At 37.9% G+C, this 23925-nt stretch overlaps 1 protein-coding gene across 13 annotated transcripts in view; it reads left to right on the forward strand.

Moving 5' to 3' along the window:
* Positions 1 to 23925, forward strand: part of ARHGAP15 (Rho GTPase activating protein 15) — a 638934-nt gene that overhangs the window by 357064 nt on the left and 257945 nt on the right. For all 13 annotated transcript variants that reach the window (XR_007078554.1, NM_018460.4, XM_017004500.3 and 10 more), the window contains one exon: positions 891 to 1013. Coding sequence is in view for 12 of the 13 variants with exons in the window: in NM_018460.4 (NP_060930.3) it covers positions 891 to 1013 (123 nt within the window). In the remaining variant the exon portion in view is untranslated. The remainder of the gene's footprint in view (positions 1 to 890; positions 1014 to 23925) is intronic.

A 23925-nucleotide genomic window follows, 5' to 3' on the forward strand; every position in this document is an offset into this window, starting at 1 on the left:
TATGAGCCTGAAGGGTTGAGGCTGCAGTGAGCTATGATCACACCACTACACTCCAGCCTGGGTGACAGAGCAAGACTCTGTCTAAAAATAAGAGGAGGAGGAGGAAGAAGACATCTTGGATGTGTTTAGACCATGCTTAATGAAAACCCAGACCTCATGTATTATATTCATCCCCGAATTCACAGCCTTTAGCATGGAGCCTGATTAGTAGACATTCAGCAAATATTTGTTCAGGAGTGAATTTTACACACACCTGACTTTGAAGATAAATCTGAGAATAGGAAACTGAGGAGAGGGGACTAATGAAGACATGGAAAAAGTTTGAGGCAAATTATGTTTCTGAATTTCACATAGAACTGGTAGTAATTATACATCAATAAGGAGAGTAAGAAATACCTGCTTCAGAAAAATAAATCACTTCAGGTTAATATAGAAAAGAAGATTGACAAGTTTATTCAAGCAAGCAGGACCTCCAGAAATGTCTGCATTAGCTAGGGATGGTATATAATCATATTTAATTGAAATCAGCAATGCTAAAGAGTTGTCTCCTGTAGTTTAGATGAATTTTTCTTTACTCTGACCACAATTTTGTGCATAAATACATGGAATTATCCATGTAAAGATTACGTTAAATATAAGGAAATGAAAGTGAAAATAAATTGTGAATATATGGAACTAATCCCATTCTCATTGTACATTCATGCTGCAACAACAGGACTAATACTTTCATGTGGGCAAATTTTACTCACATGGCTTGTTGTAGACAGAAGAGCCTGAGCTATTAATTCAGGTAGTTGTTTCATAACTACTGTTTTCTATTCAGATTTGCATAAAGTAATAATCATAAAGGAGAAATTTACCAAAAGCCTCTGATTTTTTTAAATCTTCAGTGTTCAGACTGCATCACAGTGCTTCCGATACAAGCGACAAAAATCGAGTTAAAAGCAGATTAAAGAAGTTTATTACCCGAAGACCTTCCCTGAAAACTCTGCAAGAAAAAGGACTTATTAAAGGTACAGGTCATTTTATACTTGTACTATAACTGTGATAAATGAATGTGCCTCTGTGTTCATAGCTAATCAGCTCTAAAGGAATATTAGAATATTTTATTCTTCTTAGGTTGCTTATTAAATTTTCTACTCTGTAACAGAGAAAAGAAAAATAATTGTCCAGAAAACAGATCCTGAGAAAATAAAGGAGGTATCATGGGGCCATTGAACAATATACCTAGTTTTGCCCACAGAGGATCTGTGTTCTGCACTAGGAACAGAGAAAGGATATCCTAGTGTCCTGCTAGAATGATACCATGTCCTCCTGTGTCTGGGTGGTTCCAGTTCACAGCTGGGTTTTAGTAAGTATGAACCAGCACACTTACCAACCCAGCCCTTTTCACTATCAGAAATGTCCAGATTTGGATAAAAGGTTATCTGATCATCCTAGTCATAGTCTGAAGTAAGTGCTAGGAAGAAAGTCTAAGACAAACTAGTGTCATGAAAATGTATGGATATTGAGAGCTGGCAGTCTAAAAACTCAATCCAAACTGAAATAACTAGGTAGTTTTACAAATATATGTAGAGGGCAGAATAGATGATTGTAAGAATAGATGATGGCCACCAATCATGGTCTCTGGCATTAGACTAATTAGATCACCAGTCACTCATTTTGACATTGATCAAGTTATGATCTTCTCTGTGCCTCAGCTTTCTCATTTGTTAAATGGGGATACTTATATACATCATTGAAAGGAATAAATGACATAGCCTATGTAAAGCATTCAACAGAGTTTCTGGAACAAAAGTAAATATTCTATGAATGCCCACTGCTTATTAATATAATTATTCATTGTTGTTATCACTGTTAGTGTGTCAAATGAAAGGATGAATGGATAGATAGAACCAGTGATTAGTATATTTCTATAACTGGAAATTATCTTACAGAATATACAGACTAAATTGATTCTTTTTAAAAACAAGAAAACATGAAGTTCATTATTCTCTGTATTTTTCAAATTTTCTAGCTTATGTGTACATTTTGAAAATTAAATGTAAGAAAGAATTTGAAATTGGGCGAAAAGAAACTCCTAACCCTCAGAAGAAAGCTGAAAGGCTAAACTTTATAGAAATCGAGAGGTGATTTAATAAGCAATCATTTCTCATGAAGAGGGCAAAGCAGATCCTAATTTCAGCATTACTTAAAAAGATTAGCATTTAAATAATTTATAACAACTGTTCAATCTATCAGTTTCCGTCCATTTTGAAACAGGTGAACAGATCTGAAAAATTAGCTAGCACTTTGAACCAATTGTAGAAGGTGAAATTTCATGAAGCAAAAGCATACACATTACTAATAGAATAGAAAATTCTTAGGATTTAAGGGTAAAACGAGGACCTTGCTTTAAATCAGAGTTGCCTCAGACTTTTACTCTCCGATGCATAATACTTTTCTGAGTTGTAGACAGTAATTGACCCTCTACAGATTCAACTTCACTAAGTAGTATTACTAGTACCTTCAGTTCTGCCTTAGAATTCATCCTATAGATGATCATTTTCTTGGAAAAGATTCAGTTGCAGGTTAACTGCCATCTTGAAAAATATAAAACCAGCTAAGCAACCAACAATCCTAACTTTACATAATGTCCGAGTTTTTCACGACTGGGACAAAATAAAAGGGGTTTTAATTCAGTGGCAGGGTCTGGCTCCACATGAAATGCTGAAGGATTAATTACTACAGTGCTCTAGAATTGGTCTCAGAAAGCATTAGGAAAGCTGGATGCCTAATGCAGTTTTCATACCGAAGCAATGGAACCGCTAAACACACTCTGATTCATGCATTTCTTATCTTAGAGCTCCATTAAATTTTCACCATAACTGACCAATGAGTCAGTATTCATTAGTAGGGCTATGGAAAATCTATGTAAAATTCTGATTTGATAAGCTTCCATTGTTGTCTTCAGTAGAATTTTTTTCCACGTACAGATCAAGTTATGCAAATGTAGTCACTTCTTGGGCTTGTTTCAGTTTTAGCTATGAACTTTTTTTAAGGCTTTTACTAAGTTTTTGGGTTTTTTTTTCCCAACTCGGTAAAAGGCATTAAACCAATTTTTAAAAATACCTGGCTAGTCACACTTAGTACTTTAATCCATTTTTTTCTTACACTTAAAGCAAAGACTTAGAAAAACAATAAAATCAGTATTTTTAATCAGTTAAGAAAAATTGCATACAATTAATGATTAATGGTTAAATGGTTAGTTTTTGCAAGCAAAATGACTTAACTCTTTCAAAGGGAAGAATTATTTAGAAAGAGGAATAATGGCTTTAGAATTGTTCTGCAGCTCACTTGGCCAGATAATCTATATCATACTTTATAAACTGTCTAATCTTCCAGATCGGCACAAAAGGCCTCTATTACCAAGGTTCAGGAAAGCTGTGCTTGGCAGTTTGGGCCTTAACAATTGTGCTTCCTGAAACCTGGGAGGGATTCTGCAGCGACATGTCAGTTTTCTTTTTCTTTTTGTTTTTGTTTTTGTTTTTGTTTTGTGATGGAGTCTCGCTCTGTCGCCCAGGCTGGAGTGCAGTGGCGCAATCTCGGCTCACTGCAAGCTCTGCCTCCTGGGTTCACGCCATTCTCCTGCCTCAGCCTCCCGAGTAGCTGGGACTACAGGTGCCCGCCACCACGCCCGGCTAATATTTTGTATTTTTAGTAGAGATGGGGTTTCACCGTGTTAGCCAGGATGGTCTCAATCTCCTGACCTCGTGATCCACCCGCCTCAGCCTCCCAAAGTGACGGGATTACAGGCATGAGCCACCACGCCCGGCCGGCCATGTCAATTTTCAAAGTGTTTATTCTTTCACGTAATTCACCAGTAGGTTGAGGAGGCTGGGCTTTGAATTCAACCAGCCTTTATTGAGCACCACGATGGGGGCAGGAAGGGCTAATATTTTATTGACCCTATAACGCCCATCAGAGTCACGTCCACAAAGCACTTAATGTGAAAAGAGATTTACCCCAATATCACACAATCTAAACTCAATCACAAGCCCTTTCTTCAAAACCTGTTTTATATGTGGTTTCATTAGCTAGAACCTAGACTTGGAAACAGTCCCTTGATGGTGCTGTATTTTCTTATTTATTTATTTATTTGTTTGTTTATTTTTTTGAGACAGAGGCTCACTCTGTCGCCCAGGCTGGAGTGCAGTGGCATGATCTTAGCTCACTGCAACCTCTGTGTCCCAGGTTCTAGTGATTCTCATGCTTCAGCTCCTGAGTAGCTGGGATTACAGGCATGCACCACCATGCCCCACTGTTTTTTTGTTTGTTTGTTTTTTAGTAGAGATGGGGTTTTGCCATGTTGGCCAGGCTGGTCTTGAACTCCTGGCCTCAAATGATCTGCCTGCCTTGGCCTCCCAAAGCGCTGGAATTACAGGCATGAGCAACCGCACCTGGCCCATATTTTCTAATTTCTTTAATATGACTAAAGAGAAGTACATATTAAGATATCAAATAAAGTGGGCCAGAAAAAAATTCTGAATGATTGCTCAATGAAAAGAAATCTTAATAGCTCAGGTGGGTGTAGCAAACATTGTACCATTGCAGTGGTAGCTTTGGAAAAGTTCTCCAAGGGCATTCAAGTTTGCCAAGGAATGGTGAGCCCTTTTTAAATATATGAGTTTATTAACATTGAGCATCTCATTGGGAACAAAACTTGAATCCGTTTAACATATAAATTATAGGCAAAAGCGTCCATTTTTGGGTGGTAGGAGTGTTTATAAATCTCCTTGGCCTGCTTTTGGAACTGAAGTAACAGCTCTTTAGTTTTAGCCAGACTGCCTTATGTAATCTTTCAAATAACAGTATTGACATCCAAGTTTAGGTAATACAGTTTTTAGAGAAGATAACCATTGTTTGGCTTTTTAGGAGCAATTAGTATGCCCTTATGTCAAAATAATAGCATCAGAGAGGATTTAGAAATGTTTAGTGTTTAGAAAGTAGTTTCATTCATCCTAATAAGGACAAAACCATACTGGATGGCATTAGTAGAAACTGAAATTAGTATCATATTACTTATTTTTGAATCAGTATATTATAAAACCTGCTTGAAGAATAAATAGCACACCTCAGGGATTTATGATAAGGAGAAGTGCTTTCTAGCCTCATCTTAGTTTTGCTCCCTAAAAGGTACCACTTTGAACAGTTTCTATTTATAGTTCTGGTGATTTGGTCCATACCTACATCCTTCTTATTTAGGGTAAAAGCTGGTTTGTTTTTTTGTCAATGTCCTTCTTATCTTCAGTGTTGTAATATCTTACTTTATCAGTCTTAGACAGTACTTTAGGTTTCTACTGCAATAGGCGTGAATTTTACTCAACTACACCAAGCCTCATCTTAGCTTTTTTTATTATTATTATTTTTATTTTTTGGAGATGGATTCTCACTCTGTCACCCAGGCTGGAGTGCTGTGGCATGATCTCAGCTCACTGCAACTCCTGCCTCCCAGGTTCAAGCAATTCTCCTGCCTCAGCTTCCTGAGTAGCTGGGACTATAGGTGCACACCACCACATCCGGCTAATTTTTTGTATTTTAGTAGAGATGGGGTTTCACCATGTTGCCCAGCCTGGTCTTGAACTCCTGAGCTAAGGCGATCTGCCCGCTTTGGCCTCCCAAAGTGCTAGGATTATAGGTGTGAGCCACCGCGCCTGGCCCTGCTTGGTTCTTCTCCTCGCCAGATACTTACAGTCAAATACAGCTCATCCCACAGTCTCCATTAGCTTTCTCCACAACTTGCAAGATGCCTACATCTCTACTTAAGTTTTGTTAACCCTAGAAAATTGAGCGCTAAGCCTCCATTGGTAAGATGAAGAATTTACAGCCACCTTCTCCTCTCATCTCCTCTGCCTCTTCTCTTCTACTTCTATGTCATACAAACTTATTTTACTTTACTTGTTTTTATAAGTATGGCTTATTTATAGGTAAATTTTAAAAGTTAAAAAAAACATGGCTGAGCATGGTTGGCTCATGCCTGTAGTCCAAACATTTTGGGAGGCCAAAGGAAAAGGACTGCCTGAGGTCAGGGTTCAAGATGAGCCTGGGCACGATAAAGAGACCCTGTCTCTCTACAAAAAGTGAAAAAAAGTTAGCCAGGCGTGGTGATGCATGTCTACAGTCCCAGCTACACAGGAGACTGAGATGGAAGGATTGCTTGAGCCCAAGAAGTCAAGGCTGCAGTGAGCTATGATCACATCACTGCACTCCAGCCTGGGTGACAGAGTGAGACTCCCTTTCTTAAAAATCAATCATCCGGGCGTGGTGGCTCACGCCTGTAATCCCAGCACTTTGGGAGGCAGAGGCGGGCAGATCACGAGGTCAGGAGATCAAGACCATCCTGGCTACCATAGTGGAACCCCGTCTCTTCTAAAAAATACAAAAAAATTAGCCAGCCGTGGTGGCGGGCACCTGTAGTCCCAGCTACTCGGGAGGCTGAAGCACGAGAATGGCGTGAACCCCTGAGGCGGAGCTTGCAGTGAGCCGAGAATACGCCACTGCACTCCAGCCTGGGCGACAGAGCGAGACTCTGTCTCAAAAAAAAACAAAAAAAACCATCAATTAATCAATCTATCAACATTCATACTATTATGCTTACATAAGATTGTTTACTGTAGCACCACATAGACTTCCTTTCCTGTACTTATAATATCACAACTCCCGTGACTCTCAAAGGGTAAGGCCCCTGATTATTGTGGAAAAACTCTCCTTTTACATTTGAGGGATATATTAACAGTTTTATGCTGTTTCACGTTACCTCCATGGCTTTTTCATATTTTGGACTAAATGGTGAAAAAAACAATAATCAGCTTTATTTTAGTCATGTAAATACTATCAAATCTTTGGCCAAGTTATATGCCAGATTGGTTGAACATATCCATGGGTGGCATGCTGTGAATTATGGGCCACTCCAGTTATACTGTTCTTGCTTTCAAACCTTATGCTCTATCATTTGCTTATAATCACGCTTTTAGTCTGATTCATTTTTCCATTTTGAATTTCCTGCACAGTGTTCTTCCCCTACCCAGAGTTTCATTTTTTTCTTGCATTCTGGGCCCTTATGTCATTATGTGCTTTCATTCTCTCAAACTGTCTGTGTATTCTAGTCTGCCACTCCTTGCTTTTTTCCCCCTGAGTATCTTCTTCTAAAGTCCTTTCAGCCTCTTTCTCCAATTTGCACTGGTTGCTCTCCAGCTGATTGCCCTGTGATCTCCTTCCACTGCTCCTCTGTGTTGGATCCACTGTCTTCGGCATCCCATGCCTTCCCTTCTATTACTCTTTAACAGTTTCCATGAACCCATTTGGAAAGCATGAGTCCTCAACGGTCTAAAAAATACCTTCAGTATGCCCACACACTCGATCAGTAGCTTAGTTGGGTATAAAATTCCATTGCCTGTCCAACACTGAGTTGCAGATTCCGCTCTTAAAATTGTTTTGCTTGTACCATTGTTACTTTGAATTTCTCTCTCTCAGAATCATTGGGGGGTTTTGGTCTTTATTTTGAGATTCTGGAATCAAGATAATGTATATAGTGGACAGGATTTTTAAATTTTATTCTGCTTGGCCCTTAATTTTAAGAATTATGATTCTTTCTTCAGTGCTGGATTTTTTATATTTTTGTTATTACATTGATACATTCCTCCCACCTGTTTTCTCTGTTTCCTATTCTGAGGTCTTTTTTATGTGATCATTAGATCATCTGAATTGATGGTTTCATTCAGTGTTATCTTTTCTCAAATTTTGAAAGAATTCTCAGTTTTGTTCCCCAATATTTATATTATTTTAACTTTAGCAATCATGTTTTCAATTTTCTAGATTTGTTTCCCATTCTTCTTTTTTTGCACATCTCATTTCTCACATACCATGAAAACAAAAACTGTGTTGACCACTCTACTCCTATACAATAGTGAGGATGGCACATAGAACTCAATAAATATTCGGTAATTGAATAAATAGGAAAAGTAGATATTTTTTAAAAGCTATCTGAGGACATAGATTAGAATTTGTTGTTGTTTTGGAGTCTTGTTTTTATTTTTTATTTTAAATTGTTCTCTTCTGGTCTTTAAATGATCAATTTCATCTATGGTCCTTTTCTTTCCTTTATTTGATTCATTCTATTTCTATCAAATTAGTGACTTTGCCCAAATGTCTGATGGGCAATAGTTGTCCACTCTTATTAAAGAATGAGTCTCTGTAGAGAATGACTAGAGCTCTGAAAACATGGGTAGACCTGGCCAATGATATGGTTTTGCCTTAGGGTGGTCTGCTGGTGCATCCCACACTAATCCCATACCTCAAATATCATATATTTTCAAAGGATACAGAATGCTTTATATTCTCTTGATAAACTGAATCAATCTTACTGCTGATAGTCAATTTTTCAGCTCCATTTTACAATTAAGAAAAATGAGGAGAAAATATCTCAGATTATTTGAAAGTATAGCAGCTTTGAAATTTGACCAAGCCAGGCTTGAAGCCAGATTCTTTGATTTACCAGCTATTAACTTAATATCTGGTTATTGACTTTCTTCTTTATGAAATTTACATTGAAAGTTTAAATGAAATGATATATGCGAAAATGGTGCTCAGCTTATCTTGGCCATCCCACAACTGTTTTCTCCCTTTCTTTTTTGTTTCTTCCTTTCTTCTTTCCTTCATTTCATCTTGCCTTTCTTATTTTTATCTTTCTTTCCTTTCTCCCTTTTCCTCTTCTTTATTTAGGTGCACAGAGTAAATTATGACCAAGATGGCCCTAGGAAACCATTCTGTTAAGTATTTGCTTAAAGCTCGAGAAATCATTGAAGGCAAGCATCTAGGAAAGGCAGCAGTAATTCACTTACTTCAAGAAACATACACTGATAACTTGGGCTTGGCTTATATTTCTCTTTTTGGTAATTTTAATCATGATGCTCTTTATACATAAATGGGCATGAGCTCATTTTTCTAACTACACTCACTTATATAGTGTCATGCAACTGCTGGAACATTTAAGTAATTACCCACACAGACATAACTGATTGTTTAAGGTGTCTGCCATAAAAGAAAATAATGTCTTTGAAAAATTATAGTTCTTTTAAAAATATGTCAATTATGTTGAGAAACAAAAAAAAGATTTGTCATTCAAACTGCAAATACAAGCTATCAGCCCTAGACTTAACAGTCATGTTTATGAATAGCAACATCATTGAGTTAAGAGAAAAGTGTTTTTTAAATAATTTGTTAGAACTGATATATGACAGAGTAACATAATTGTCACACTGTTAATTTAAGCAAAATATATATGATCAACACTGTAAAATAGCTTTGGGTAGAGACATGCTCCAACTTTGCCACTTTATCAGTGTTAGTCTGAGAATAATTATACTTGAATTTATATACTAGGGCATGGGTCTATCATTGCTTGGGTCTGAAATACTCTGACAACTTCCACGATATGCACTAATGTGCTTAAAAATATCTTGTAAATCTTCTTTTTTAAAAAACTTCTTTATGGTTCAAAATTGAACTGTGATCTTTACGTGTGCGCTGTGTCATGATTTAATATTAGCCAAAATTAATAGCCAACCTTAAGCTTCTTTATCTCGGCCTACAAGCTTCCTGGTTCCTTTGCATTTATAGTTCTCAGGCAGTTTCTGTTATTTAAAGGCTCTTGGGAGCAAATGTGTTGGTAATACAGTACCACATAGTTAGCTTTTGTTCAATAATAAGATACAGGACACCATGCGAGATGGAGAAATGTTGAGAAAAGGGTGCACCTGGGTAGCAGGTTAAGCCCATGTATTTTAAAAGCCTGTTGTGCACACAGGAAACAATCCAGGTCTTGTGAGATATTAAAAGCAGAATAGCTTTGGAGCAAACTAGAGAAAATGAGGTTCAGAAATGGGAGCAAATTAGGTAAGGGGAAAAAGAATGAGCCAGAATGATAAATTGGTTTCCCTGTGGTTCAAGAATTTATTTTCTTATGGGGACAGATCTTTTTATACAGATGTTAGTGAGAATGTAATATTTGAGATTGTGACTTACATACACTTGATTTTTTTAACCTACAAAATGGTTTTACCAGTAAATTTCTGGTATGTAACTCACTATACTTTATGTGTTAGCAAACAACAATGATAATCATTCTCCTTTTAGTTCCTTTAAATTACATTTCTTTCACATTAAATCAAGTCCTCAAGATGTTTCCCTTTTCTCAAGTAAAAGAAATGCCAGATAATACCAGGCTTCAGCCATGAAACTGACCCAATGCCTAGTAATAGCTATGCTTAATGCTGGGAATGTAAAATGAATAAAACCCAGTTGATTCAGCCAGCATATTGGCATTTTGTTTTTAGCCAATGACCCCTAAAACCCATACTAAATTTTGCCCTGGCAATAGATGCTGGTTTTATTCATTCTGTGGACTATGTATCCTTAAAAGATTGCCCAGAATTCTGGCATGCCCTATAGGGTTACATGAATCTGGTGCCAGTTTGAAATATTGTATTTGAGCCTTCCAGTTTGAGGACTGACAAGCTTCCACAAAATAGGAAGAAATAGATCATACACACCAAAAAGGAAGCAGTAACAAGTGGAGGCAGGCTTTGTTTCATCTTATGACTCTATGCCATGTTTTAAGCATACTCTGTGCTCTAACTCAAATCTTGTGTGTGTGTGTCTAAATTGTAAAACAGATACAAAACCTCCCCTTCCACCCCCAACATTGCACCAAAGTTGATGTGCTCTCGAAAGCATATCCTCAACTAGTTGGAGACAACCAAAAGTCAGGCTAGGGTGGTAGTTCCTCCTTGTGTTAGAAGTCTGCTGCGCTCTGGAGAGATGGCCCATGGCTGTTTCAGTCCTCTAATCACATCCTAAATCTTTCCTCTGTGAAACCACCTGATGAGAAGAAAAAGATGCAGGGCCCTTGTCAGTGTTCAAAAGAATCCCCTTTTTAAAGGTTAGCATTTATTATTGATACCCTGCTGTTCTCCAGCAGGTGTTCTTGTACCGCATAGTTCCCTCCTGACTCCTAAAGCCAGCTTCACGAGCAGTGGAAGATTCTTCAGCTTAGTTCTTGTTAGCTTTTCAGGGCCTCCATAGACCTACGAACAGTATCCAAAGCCAGTGCTGGATGCTGCTTTCGCCTCTGTCGTTGGTATAATTCTACTGCTCACACTAAGTACTAGATGGTGATTTCATTGTGTGGCGAGGTGGATAACTGAGGGAGAAGAAAGCAGAATTTCATTCTGACCTGGAGATTGATTATTTGAGCAAATGTGTGAATGAATGCTTCTTATATAGTGAGACAAGTTGAATTTTCCATGCTATTCAAGGAAGGAGGTCTCACTCCTTCCTCACTTATGATATGAATGGGATTTTAGAGTTCACATGGTGTGTATGTTGAGTGTGTCTCTAAAGATAGTACATGTCAGAGCTCTCATAACTCAGATATCCTCATTAGGGACCCCATTCAGCAGATGTGTTAGACTGCTACGAGCAAAGGAAATATTAATATCCACAATTCATTTTGACATATCCTAAGATTAAGAGAGTGCTCTTTTATTTCCTTTAGCATCACTGACAGTTTGGCCTACAAATCTTTTTTCTCCAAATTCATGTCTATTATAAATCAACAACATTTCATAAATTTCTAAGATTCAAAAAAAACTTGCATTATTTTATTTCAGGGGCCCAAATTTTGTCCGATATTAAAAGCATCTCTCTTTGGACTTCTTACCCCACCTGATTAGTGATAACGAAAATTAACTGGGCCTCTGTAAAACTGAGTCATCAGGAAAAATAACTCCATGTTGTAAAAGTGCTATTCCTGCATTTTCTATTCTTCTCTGTGGGAGGGAGGCAAGAGGCCATATCAGAATTTGGATAGTCATAATTGGTGGTCTGTCAGTATTAGTGAAATTGCAATAGGGAGAGGTATATCTCCCAGCTTTTCTTTGAAATTGACTATATTGCTGTAAGTGTGTTTTATCAAAGCATTTTCTGGGGCAACAGATCTGAAAACATAAACTTTATGTAGCATTGCTCCTCCTTAGATATTTCCCTTTAATATGTCTTTTCTTTTTGAAGATAAAATAAAAGTACATAAAAGAGTTCTGGGAATAGGCAGCTATATGTCATAAACACCATTCACTCCCCCTCACCCAGAGCTCCCACCCCCCAAAATTTGGAAACGATTTGATTGAAGTGATGACTGCCTTGATCTTGTTTGAATACTCCTTCTTCATTGTCTTCTTCTCTCAATGGGAGGCAACAACCCTGTCACAGAGACATTCCTGGGAGGGAAAGAGGTATTTCTAGCAACCATATTTTCCAAACACAAAATTGAGACACATGGCCTGACAATGCCATAATATTTGAAGTAGGGACTGTGCTCAAAGATCCAGAACATATGGTGGAAAGAGTTTTCTTATAAAAGGCAGCCATTTAAGACACTTTCTAGATTCTTATTCACAAAAGGCTCATTCCCCCATCCCTTTTATTCTCATTAAAAAATATTACCCACAGATCAGAAGACTGACCAGTTTTCCCTCAAATTTGCTTTTTTGCCAGCTTGAGAACCACCCTATTGACTAAAAAGTTAAATGCACAGCCATCCAGGAAGAAATGCAAACCAGACTGCCAAACATATTATGAATATATTGCTCTTCTTAAAAATGCTAGTTGGTTTTTCATACTGGAGTATTGACTAACTGTCTGTGTTTGATGTATGGTTTACCAGCCTGATGTCGACTTATGGTTAGAGCTTAACTTGTTAGTTCTGCTTTTGCAGCCAATTCAGAATAACTACAGATGCCTCGAGATATTAAAATTGACTGCTCAAATGGACTCAGTGCGGGAGTTTCATTGGTTTTAAATTGATAACAGCTGAAAGAGTGAATGATTAAAGTGTAAATGGGCATAGGACACAGCTCTTTCATAGAAACACTTGTGAACAGACTTCAGTAGTGTGGGAGTTTTTTCTTTCTTTTTCTATTGTAGTTATTTCTAAGCAACCTTGAGTTAAATTTTAAAAGTGCTCAGGAATATTCAGGAGCCTAGAGGAGAAATAATTCCTGAGAAACTGAGATAAATTTTGATGAAGTGGGTTTCTATTCTACAGGGAACATTTAAAGTTAAGTAGCATTCCATAAGGTGGTAATTGTGTCTATTTCCCAGGCATTTAAGTTAAGTAAGCTGTGTAGGAAGTATAAACTGTCATAATAGAAGGGTTAGAGTGTTGTGTACATCTCTTTCTTCAACTCATAAAAACCAAAGCTCCAAAGTGCCTTATCACAGATAAGTCAAAGAAAGCCTCTCCTTTGCTTTCTTATTCTCCTAAGAACAATTATTATTATTTTCATTATTTAAAAAGATGTTCTGAATACTTTCTTGTCGCATGGAGAAAAAGAATACAAAAGAGAAATAAAAAAACTTTTCTCCCCCTCCTTAAATCAGCAATACTTATATAAAACAGGCTTTATGAAAACTTACTTTCACCATTTAATAGTAGCTTAAGGAAAAGGCACAGTAAAGAGAATAATTAAGTGAAATGTAAAGAAATTTATGAAAAAGAAATATCTGTTTATAATACAGCCCTTTTTCAACTTAATATCTTTCTAAGAGTTAGGTGTGCTCATTATACAATATTGTGACCTAGCTCCTTTCTGTTTTCAAATGTCTCTTAGTATTTTATCTTTGATATTCCATCAGGAAATATTTATACATTTTTTATTTTATATATTTTTATATATACTTTTTTAATATTTATATATGAAGAACTTTATATAGCTAACTGATTAAAAGCATCAATCTACAGTAACACATTAAGGCAGGATTTGTTGACAAAATATAAGTCCATATAGTATGTACTAATTTCACATATTCATTTTAAAAAAATTGAATCATTGTGCCTAGCTAGTATGTCCCCACATATGTAGCAAATATTCACCTTATGTTAATTACAATTTGTGGAATAAGAGATTTAGATATATTTGACAGTAACATTAGTGAATAGTGATATGTATGTTCAGATGTAAGAAAATCAAATTATGAAGGATGCTCTGACTTTAAAACAAAATAAGCCACAAATATCCTGGTCAATGTTTACAAGAAAATGTGTTATATATTTATTTACTGCTCAAATTTTCCCCAAAATTATAATGTATATACCTGGACCACATCTTAAAATTGCAGACTCAAGTTGCCTTCATGAAGCATACAGCCGTTGAATCATGCTTTTGTTGTGATAGACAGCTTATGCAGATAGCCGTCTAAGAAACTGCTACCAAGGTTGACATTTTCACAAGATATAATTCCTTTAGATATGTAGAGCAAAAGAGAGAAATTTCATTCTCTTTCAACAGTTGTTCAGCTCCAATTTTGTAATGATTTTTTAAAATCTATCCATATGAGACAGGAGGGAGATTTTAGAAGAGATGTCATCCAAATAAAACATATGTGAGGGTCATTAACTTGAATATAACACTCCTAACATGTCCCTTTGAACTTGGAACTCAGATTCATAGGAGGAAAGAAAAGATGGAGCTGAAAGAGGCCTGGTCTGGGTTAACCTCACAGTAAAGGAATCTTTCACATAACAAGAGACTGAGAAATAAGCCGATGGTATAAAAGTGATATCTTGAGGATATCTTAATATGGTGAGATTCCGAATACTCTAAATTTCAGAAAAACCATTGCTCCCTTGGACTCCCTCATAATTTGTACCACCTCATACATTCATTCATTCCCTGGACAGTGAAATACGATGTTTACATCTTTTGTGACTTCACATTTTAAATGCATTGAAGCCTTTACAATGTTACAATGAGCATGTTACAATGTTTGCATCTTAAAAAAGTAATTAGCATAGGAGACCATTTGATATTACATAAAGAATTTGACAGGACCTCACTCAATGCCTTTTAAGAAATAATATCGAAAGAGGAAGTGAGAGCCTGTTTTAGTTATAAATCTGTTCACATAATTACCAGTTGAAGAAGATATCATAAACATTTTAGAAGAGCGAGGTTAGACCCTCACTTCATTAAAAACAGAATTCCAAATGATGTCAGATACCTCCAGTTCTCTAGCATCCGTTTCTTATGTTCATGTACACACTTGCATGCATGCCTTTTTAGTCAGAAAGATCATGTATTTGTAGTACGAGTAAATAATTTTGAAGAAAAATAACATTGGTTAGAAATATACTACTAAACACATGAAGAGAGACAACCAGATCTGCATGTGAGGTTAAGTTCAACTTGAGATGCCACAGTGATATGGACAAAGTATTCCAAAGGTGGCTTTGCAGTATAGGAATATAAATATTCCAAATGTGACTACACAGTGTAGCAGCCGACTGGACTTTTCCATAGGAGAGGTCTCTGCCTAGGTTTCTCTACTACAGCATGAAGAACAGGATGGGAAGCAGAAGCTTTTGCCAGGGAGCTGTGGCCTCAAAGGTATTGACCGGGCAGGATGTGAATAGTGGGTAAAGTTGGCACCACAGCCTTACTTCATCCAGGACAGAAGGTAGAAAGTAAACAGTCCATTGGAAAATGTTTGGGGACACAAGACATGGGATCTGAGGAATTCTAGGAATGGTAGTAAAAGACTTTGGGTTTGGCTGGGTGCAGTGGCTCACACCAGTAATCCCAGCATTTTGGGAGGCTGAGGCGAGTGGATCATCTGAGGTCAGGAGTTCAAGATCAGCCTAGCCAACATGATGAAACCCCATCTCCACTAAAAATACAAAAATTAGCTGAGTGTGGTGGCAGGTGCCTATAATCCCAGCTACTCGGGAGGCTGAGGCAGGAGAATCACTTGAGCCTGGGAGGCAGAGGTTGAAGTGAGCCAAGATCGCACCATTGCACTCCAGCCTGGGTGTCAAGAGTAAAACTCCCTCTCAAAAAAACAAAAACAAACAAACAAACAAACAAGACTTTGGGATCAAGTCTTAGTGGAAAGCACTTCCCTGTGATAAGCCAAAGCCATCTGTTCCTATAATCAGTTATTACAGCATGAATACTACCCAAAGCCTAGAGGAAGCTTCTGTGTGTGGATCGTTTTGTTGTTGTTGTTGTTGTTTTGTTTTGAGATGGAGTTTCACTCTTGTCACCCAGGCTGGAGTGCAATGGCACGATCTTTGCTCACTGCAACCTCCGTCTCCCAGGTTCAAGCAATTCTCCTGCCTCAGTCTCCTGGATAGCTGGGACTATAGGCACCCACCACTATGCCTGGCTAATTTTTGTATTTTTAGTAGAGATGGGGTTTCACCATGTTGGCCAGGCTGGTCTCGAACTCTTGACCTCAAGTGATCCACCCACCTCAACCTCCCCAAATGCTGGGATTACAGGTGTGAGCCACTGTGCCCGCCCCTGTGTGTGGATTCTTTCTGGCCTCCCAGATGCAACTCTCTGAGAAGCTGCCATGAATGTGTATGTTGAGCTTCAGTTTCATTTACTGACCAGGACCATGGACATCGATCAGAGATCTGCTAGAGAGAGTCTGCGCTAACCAACTTGGCATACCATCTGCATGCTAGTAGTGGTCTAGGAAGACTCTGCTGGGGAAAGCGTTAGCCTTTTGGCTCAGCCTTTTGCCCCCGTTATGACCAGCCTAGAATCCTAGACACAAAGAACATCTAAGAAAATATGTAGTGCGTTCTTGGGAGAAAGAGATACTACAGCACAATAACTGTATTAGTTTTATATAATGTTTGAGTATGTAAAGCACACTTGAAATAATTAAAATACATGAAGAAAATCTTTTTCTTTTTGTGCTTGGGTGTGTATAATGGGAAGTCATAAGTTGTAGTGAAAGGGGCAACCAAGACTCTTCCTGTGCTATTTAAAAGAGCTGTATTTTACTTATTCAGGAAAACAGAGTATTGCAGAACCATAAAGATTACCAAATTTTGAAGTAGACTTGGCTCTGCTACTTACTTGTTTTGTGAATTTGGGCAAGATGATGAAATGTTCTTTCTTCACACTCTCCAGCTAATACTTCTCAGGACTGGTAATGTTTTATAAAAAGCAAGTAGCGTAGCAAACAATAGCTATTGATGGTTATACTCTACTCCCAGTTCTACTTAGTATTGCGTACCAGTCCTTCACCTGACTGCAGAGAACACATTCTGAAAATTGCAAAACAGATAATATATGATGAGATTTTTTGTGACATTGCATTAAAATACAGTTAGCATTTTGAACACTCTGTGTGCCTAGACTGTGATTATAACTTTTTCAGGCATTATCCAATGATGAGGATGAAGAGCTATGCTTGCATTTCTTTATGCTACAGGTATGATTGTTATTCCTATTGCCTACTGACATGTATTCTCTGAGCCACTGTATTCTGAGAGGATACAAAGCTACACAAAGCAAGGTCCCCAGGAAGTGAGTAAGGAAGATAAATGCACAAAAACAACGGTGTAATATATCAGATGTCAAATGCTCTAAGGGGTATTTAGGTCACAAATTTGGGGAAATTACACATGGAAAAGTGTGGGAAAGATTAATGCTTTTATCATTTTATGGTCTTTAAACTGAGCCTTGAATTAGAGCCTTGGACTTTTGTAAAAATGGGTGAGACATTTGAGGTACACAATCGTAGGAAAGTCTGGAGAACAGCCTTAGATGAAATGTAAAGAGTTTGATGAGAAGAAGTGTCTGTGGCAAGTGTTTTGCACAATCCCAGGCTTAGGAGTTTGTATTCTACTTTATAGGCAATTTTGTTATTCATTTAATATTTTTTATTTGTTTTTATTTATTTTGAAAACATGTATTGAGGACCTAGCATGTGGCAAGCCATAGGCTGGGCACTGGGCCTACAAAGATGTATAAGTTGTGATTCCATCCTTCAAAATTAGACATTCCAGCCTGCTTGGAAGGAAATATTCTGCCTCAAGAAAATCACCTCCATACCCCCAAAACTTGGCTCCACTAGAAGACACACTAGAAGGCTATATTATGAAATTGGTACTTGTTATCTACTTTGAGTTAATTCCTACGTAATCGCAATGGCCAAAGCCCCTGCAGCTGTGGGAATGAACAGAGTAACACTGACCTTACAGCACAAATGTCCCAAGTCATGGCTCCCTCCTGTGTAATCACAACACAGCCTTTCTCTGCCTCCTCAGCTACTCAAGGGAGTCCCTGAAGTGTGTTGCACAATTTGATGAATTACTGTCTTTTGCCCCATTGTGTTCTCCTCTCTCATTTCTTTCTCTTTTATACCCTTACTACCCACAAGCTGCCTGAAGAAGGCACCTTACCTTGGCTGTGCAGCCAGCACTTTCTGAGAGTTACCTGCTTCCCTGCCTAGGTACTGGCCAGGGCTCCTGAGCCTGCAAAACCTTCCATGTGCCAGAATGTGCTCCATCCCTCTGGATCCCACTGAATTTCTAGTCCACTTTGTCTTCAAAGGAAACAGAAAGGCTGTTCTCCTCCCCACCCTGCCTGCATGGTGCACCTGATTTTTTAGGGCCTGAAGCAACAACTCTTACTCATTGAATCTCACAAGGTGAGAGAGTAGCTTCTTTCCACTGTGTCTGAGGCTCTTTCCTCAACAGAAATTACACCTAGTCCCTGGGACTTAGCCAGAGTACATGTGCCATTTGCCATATCTCAGGAGTTCACAATTCTCCTGACTGTGTTTTACCAACTAATATCAGCTCTTGCAAGTAAGCATCCATGGTGGCGAACATCATTCTGCCAATACAGTAGGCAGATCCAACTGAGATACTCCATTCCTTCTCTAAGTCCCCTCCCTCCATAAGAGGTCCCAGTAGCTGGAAACATAACTGTCAAGCATGCAACAAACCTGGCAAATGAGCAATATACAAAGCAGCATCTCACAACATGATACCTATTCATTCAGTTTGGTGGGCAACTTTGGGACAGGATAAGGTGTTTTGGAAATGTTGTTGCATTGTCACTTTCTGCAGTAGAAACTGAAAAATGAGAAACACACTGTGTTTGACTGGAAGCCCAAAGGAGACAAAATGTTTTCAGAAATGTGTGCATCATGGCCTACTAATTTGGGCTCATAACTACTCTCCAATTACATTCCTGGAAATGTTTTTCAATTTCTTTGCGTGGAATAACTAGCAGACCACAGTGCTCAGAACAGCCCATGGGGAATGGCATTCCTGAGTAGAGGTTACATCACACCTCCATGGAACTAGCCAGCCCTTCTGCAGAACCACATGATTCCCTGGCTCTTAATATGGTTTATTAAAAAATCCTTTACCTACCTCAAAGCACTTTTCATCAAAGCCACTTTTAAGCTGAAGCTGAGGACTAAAGAATGCCTTTAACAGAATCCTGAAATAGCTTTTAACCTGAGGCTGAGAGAGAAAGTGCTTTTAACCTAAAGTGCTTTCCTCTTAGGTGCTTCAGTGCATACCTAGCACTCAGCATTAGTGGCTTTGAGAACACCCTTAAGACCCAAATGAAAGAGACTCCATTATTGATATTCAAACCTGTTATGTTAATATATTAAAGTAATATTTGAAATCATTAAGCAGTTTTACTCCAACTAAATTTGAGTCTTTTCTTATTGAACTATGCATTCATGCAAATAAATTGAAGTCGTACCACCTGGGATTCTAACAAATCTATGCTGATATTAGGAAAAGTACAGTCTTCTTTCCTAGGTTTTACTTTAATCTAGAGTGAGTCAAAATTTCTACACTTTCCCCACCCAAAAAGAATCTTTCAACTCTTCTCAATCACTGAATGACACTTCCAGCTTTAGTCCATATAAGTTGTGCCTTAAAGATAAATCATTTAGTATTTTTAATTACCTGAATAAATTCTGTGTATCAAATTTTCTCCTCAGACTTGTCACTCAAACAAATGCAATTAATAATTTCACAGTAGTTTTAATCCCCCTATAAAGTTCCTACTTAGTCAAGTAAGTGACAACCTAATTGATAAGTTTTAACTTCAGATTAATAGTAAGTTATATAATTGAGCATGTGAATTTCATGGACAGTTTTCTATTCAAAGTATGTAAAGAACATACAAATATGGGAGAAGGTAGCAGAACTTAACATTTGAATTGTATTACCCTTCCCTTCCTTTGCTGGCCCTCTCTGTAATTCTAATGAGATGATGACAGGCAAATGAAAAGCAGAAAATATCATCAATCCACAATGTACGTCAACAGTCAGCTGAACAAAATTTGGTCATGTTAATTATTTGAAATACATGAAAGCAAACAATGAAAATATGTTTCCCTCATACTCAAGTGCTCATATTACAATCTTTAGATAGAAATCGGTTTCTTGGACTACAACCCAGTGAGAAAATATTAGACTAATTAGTCTGTCCTACTGTGGTCTGTTAGAAAAAAATATTGAAATATTAGGGTATTTTCCTTAAAAAATAAAAACATTCTTTATAAGCTGTTTTAATATCAAAGGAAATAATTTTCTTTTGTAAATTTTTCTCATATTTATCTTTTAATCTATTCATACATTCATTTATGCACTCATTAGGCAACCAGAAGGCATGTAATATAATAAATGCAATAAATATAAATACAAGTAGAAGAAACTGCATTCATCTTTTCCTACCGTGTAAAGTTTTGTTGACCTTGAATATCATTTTGTAGCTTCCTCTACTTAGTAAAATTGTAATCATTTTTACTCTTCCAACTCAGTTACCAGTGCCACAAAGCTATCCCTTTCTTCTTCATTCTCAATTAGTCCTACCTTCTCTTTATCCAAAAGCTGTAATTTCATTATTTTAATATCTTTCAACTGGATTATGAGCTGTATCTAGTAGACCAGATACTATTTTACTGAACTCCGTACTTCCAGGAGTTAGAAAGAAATAAGGAAATGAAGCTGGACATGAAATCTTGCAGTGGTTTTAGAGTTATTATTTACAGCTTCTTATTACTTCCTATTGAAACTCTCATGTCAGTGAGTGCCCCTTTGGTGGATCCTGCTCTTCTCCCCATCTTCAGAATGTTGGGTTACCCCTATGTTAAGGCCTTGGACTTCTTTTCTCATTTCATTCTTATTCTCAGACTATTGGACATTAAACATTCAGAGTTGAAATATACCATTCATGCAGCTTCGAATTCCATCTAGAGGTTGATGCTTTCCAAACTTAAAACATCAGTCTCAAACTTCAGACTTGCATATTCAAATATTGATTTCATGTCTTTTGGGGTGCTTGGTACATATCTCAGATTTATCTAGAGTAATCCTTGATTCTTCAGATCCCATGTGTCCTCTATCTCAGGAAATATCACTGCCATGTGCCACCTGGGATCACCCCCGCTTTCTACTCTGTCTCTTCCTTCATCAGTAGATCCCACCTTTAAAATATATTCTAAATTCAACCACTTTTGATTACTTCCATTGGATTCATTCTTACCCAAGCACCATCATCTCTTCCTATATTTCACTACCCCCCTGATGAGCCTTCCTACTTCTCCTCTTAACCCCCTTAAATCTAGGCTTCACACGGCAATTAGAAGGATCATTTATAAATGTAAATCATATCATGTCACCCCCCCCTCCTCCATAATCTCCATTTACTTAGAAGAAACTCATTCTTAATATCTAATGTGTGTCCTTCCTGTGACCTATAGGGTCCTACCTGCTTTGACCCTGAGGCTACATTTTATGTTTTTTCCTCAGCCATACTTCCTCTTGTTCACACCACTCCAGCCACTCAGGCCTTCCTGCTCCTCCTCTAAGGAACCTGGCTTACACCAGCAGCTTTATACACTTGCTGCTCCCCTTGTATGTACATGGCTCAGTCGGTCACTTCATTTGGTGTCTGCTCAGATGCCATTGCCTGAGATGCCTTCCCTGGCAACACCAATAGCTCTCTGTCTCTCTGCCTTGCTTCATTTTTTCCATAGCGCTTATCACCATCTGACATTATATGTTAATGTGTTTTCATGTTTATTTTCCCCATTTACATATAGACTCTGTGAAGACAGAGAGTGTTCTTTTCACTACTCCATCCCCAGTGGGCATTGAAAAATACTCATAGATGGTTAGATTCAATGGATAAATCCAAAAATGCATAAAGGATTTACTTGGTGAAACCCTTCTCTATGCCGTTGTGATTCTGTGTGCTGACGTACATGTGTGTATGTGTGTGATGTTGCTTTAGATAAGCAGAGGGTGGGAGAGATAGGTACAAAGTATTGACAAAGTTCTTGCCTTGAGTAGACAAATATAGAAGAATTTCATGCGCACAGTGTCCCATTTGGTTAATAACTCTTTAAGATGCAAATTTCTTCCTGGCTGGTGTAATCACCAAAATGCCTACTGCACTAGTCAGACCAAAATTAGATTGACATCTATTTCCAGGTGAGTTTAGGAGCTGAAAACGAGGGGCCAAAGGGTACTTCACAGAAGTACTGTTTAGGGTTGAGAGTGAAACTATGAAAACTGAAGACGGCCAGAAGCCTGAGAAACAAAGAGAAAAAGTAGAAAGGGCTGGGAAGAACTTTTCTCTTCTGTCAGTCCCATCCCTGAAACTCATCTTTGGGCTGCCTTGATCAAAGGGTGCTACCCCCGCAGCTAAATGTCCAGCTTCATTTGAAAGCTGCAGCAACTCCGCTATCCTTGTTCGGGGAGATCCTCTTCCCCCAGGCTAGTCTCTCCGTAGCAGATATTGTCATTATCACCAGAGACTTTAGAATCTGTTAGGTTTGATGAGATGCAAAAATATAAATAAACATGTGGGGGAAAACTATTCACAGAAGCGCATATATTTGGTAACTCCTATTTATTTAGATTCCAAACTACTTAGAAGTTAAAGTAATTAAGCTTTTTCTTGTACTTGCCTCTTATGAAAAAAAAAAAAAATAAGTAAACAAGGCAATGAGAGAGGTTTACTTCCAGTGCATGTCGTAGATTCAGCAGAGAATCGGCCCAATTTTTGATATCTATGTAACATAAAGCAGCAACCGATATTTCTAATCAAAGCCCCAAAGCATCATAAGTTAACGCAGTACCTCCTGAAGCACTTACAGTATATTCTGTCGTGTTTTAGCATTAGGCGTATTTTTTCTGTGTCTTAATTCAAAAACATAGGCCATTCCATAACCTATAGCACTAACAGAAGTCACCCAGTTCTCCAAACATTCTCAGTAAAGTTTTGGGAAAGTTACATGACATGGGGCTCATGTCGTGAGCATTTTAAAGGAAAAGAAAAGATGGTGGGAACAGAACTGGAGAAAATATAAAAGATGAGAGTAGAGGCTGGGCATGGTGGTCCACACCTATAATTCCAGCACCTTGGGAGGCCGAGGCAGGCGGATCACGAGCTCGGGAGCTCGAGACCATCCTGGCCAAAGTGGTGAAACCCCATCTCAACTAAAAATACAAAAATTAGCTGGGTGTGCTGGCGCATGCCTGTAATCCCAGCTACTCAGGAGGCCGAGGCAGGAGAATCGCTTGAACCAGGGAGTCAGAGGTGTAGTGAGCCGAGATTGTACCACTGCACTCCAGCCTGGCGACAGAGTAAGACTCCCTCTTAAAAAAAAAAAAAAAAAAAAAAAAAAAAATAGAAACACCATGCTTTGATAAGCAATCTAAAAGTTTTGGGCTGAAAACCAATTCTCAAAAGGAAAAACTAATGTAATTTATAGTTTAAAATCAAAAGATGGAATTATTAAATTGCTGAAATCACCCATGTTTGGAATACGATTTTGTCTTCCAATATCCGCTGCCTCTCTATTATAGCAACTTAGTAGGAAATAATCTGCCCATATGTGTGGCATTGCTGTGGGAGAAAAATTCTAAGTGAATGCTACCTACTATGGAAACTACGAGGGCTGTATTTTCTCTCCCCACCCATTATTTTTATAACATAATCCTGATCAATGAAGCATCATCTAGAGAAACTTCCAGTCTAGAGCGATTGA

The sequence above is a fragment of the Homo sapiens genome, chromosome 2 (genome assembly GCF_000001405.40).
Source record: "Homo sapiens chromosome 2, GRCh38.p14 Primary Assembly".
Classification (NCBI taxonomy): domain Eukaryota; kingdom Metazoa; phylum Chordata; class Mammalia; order Primates; family Hominidae; genus Homo; species Homo sapiens.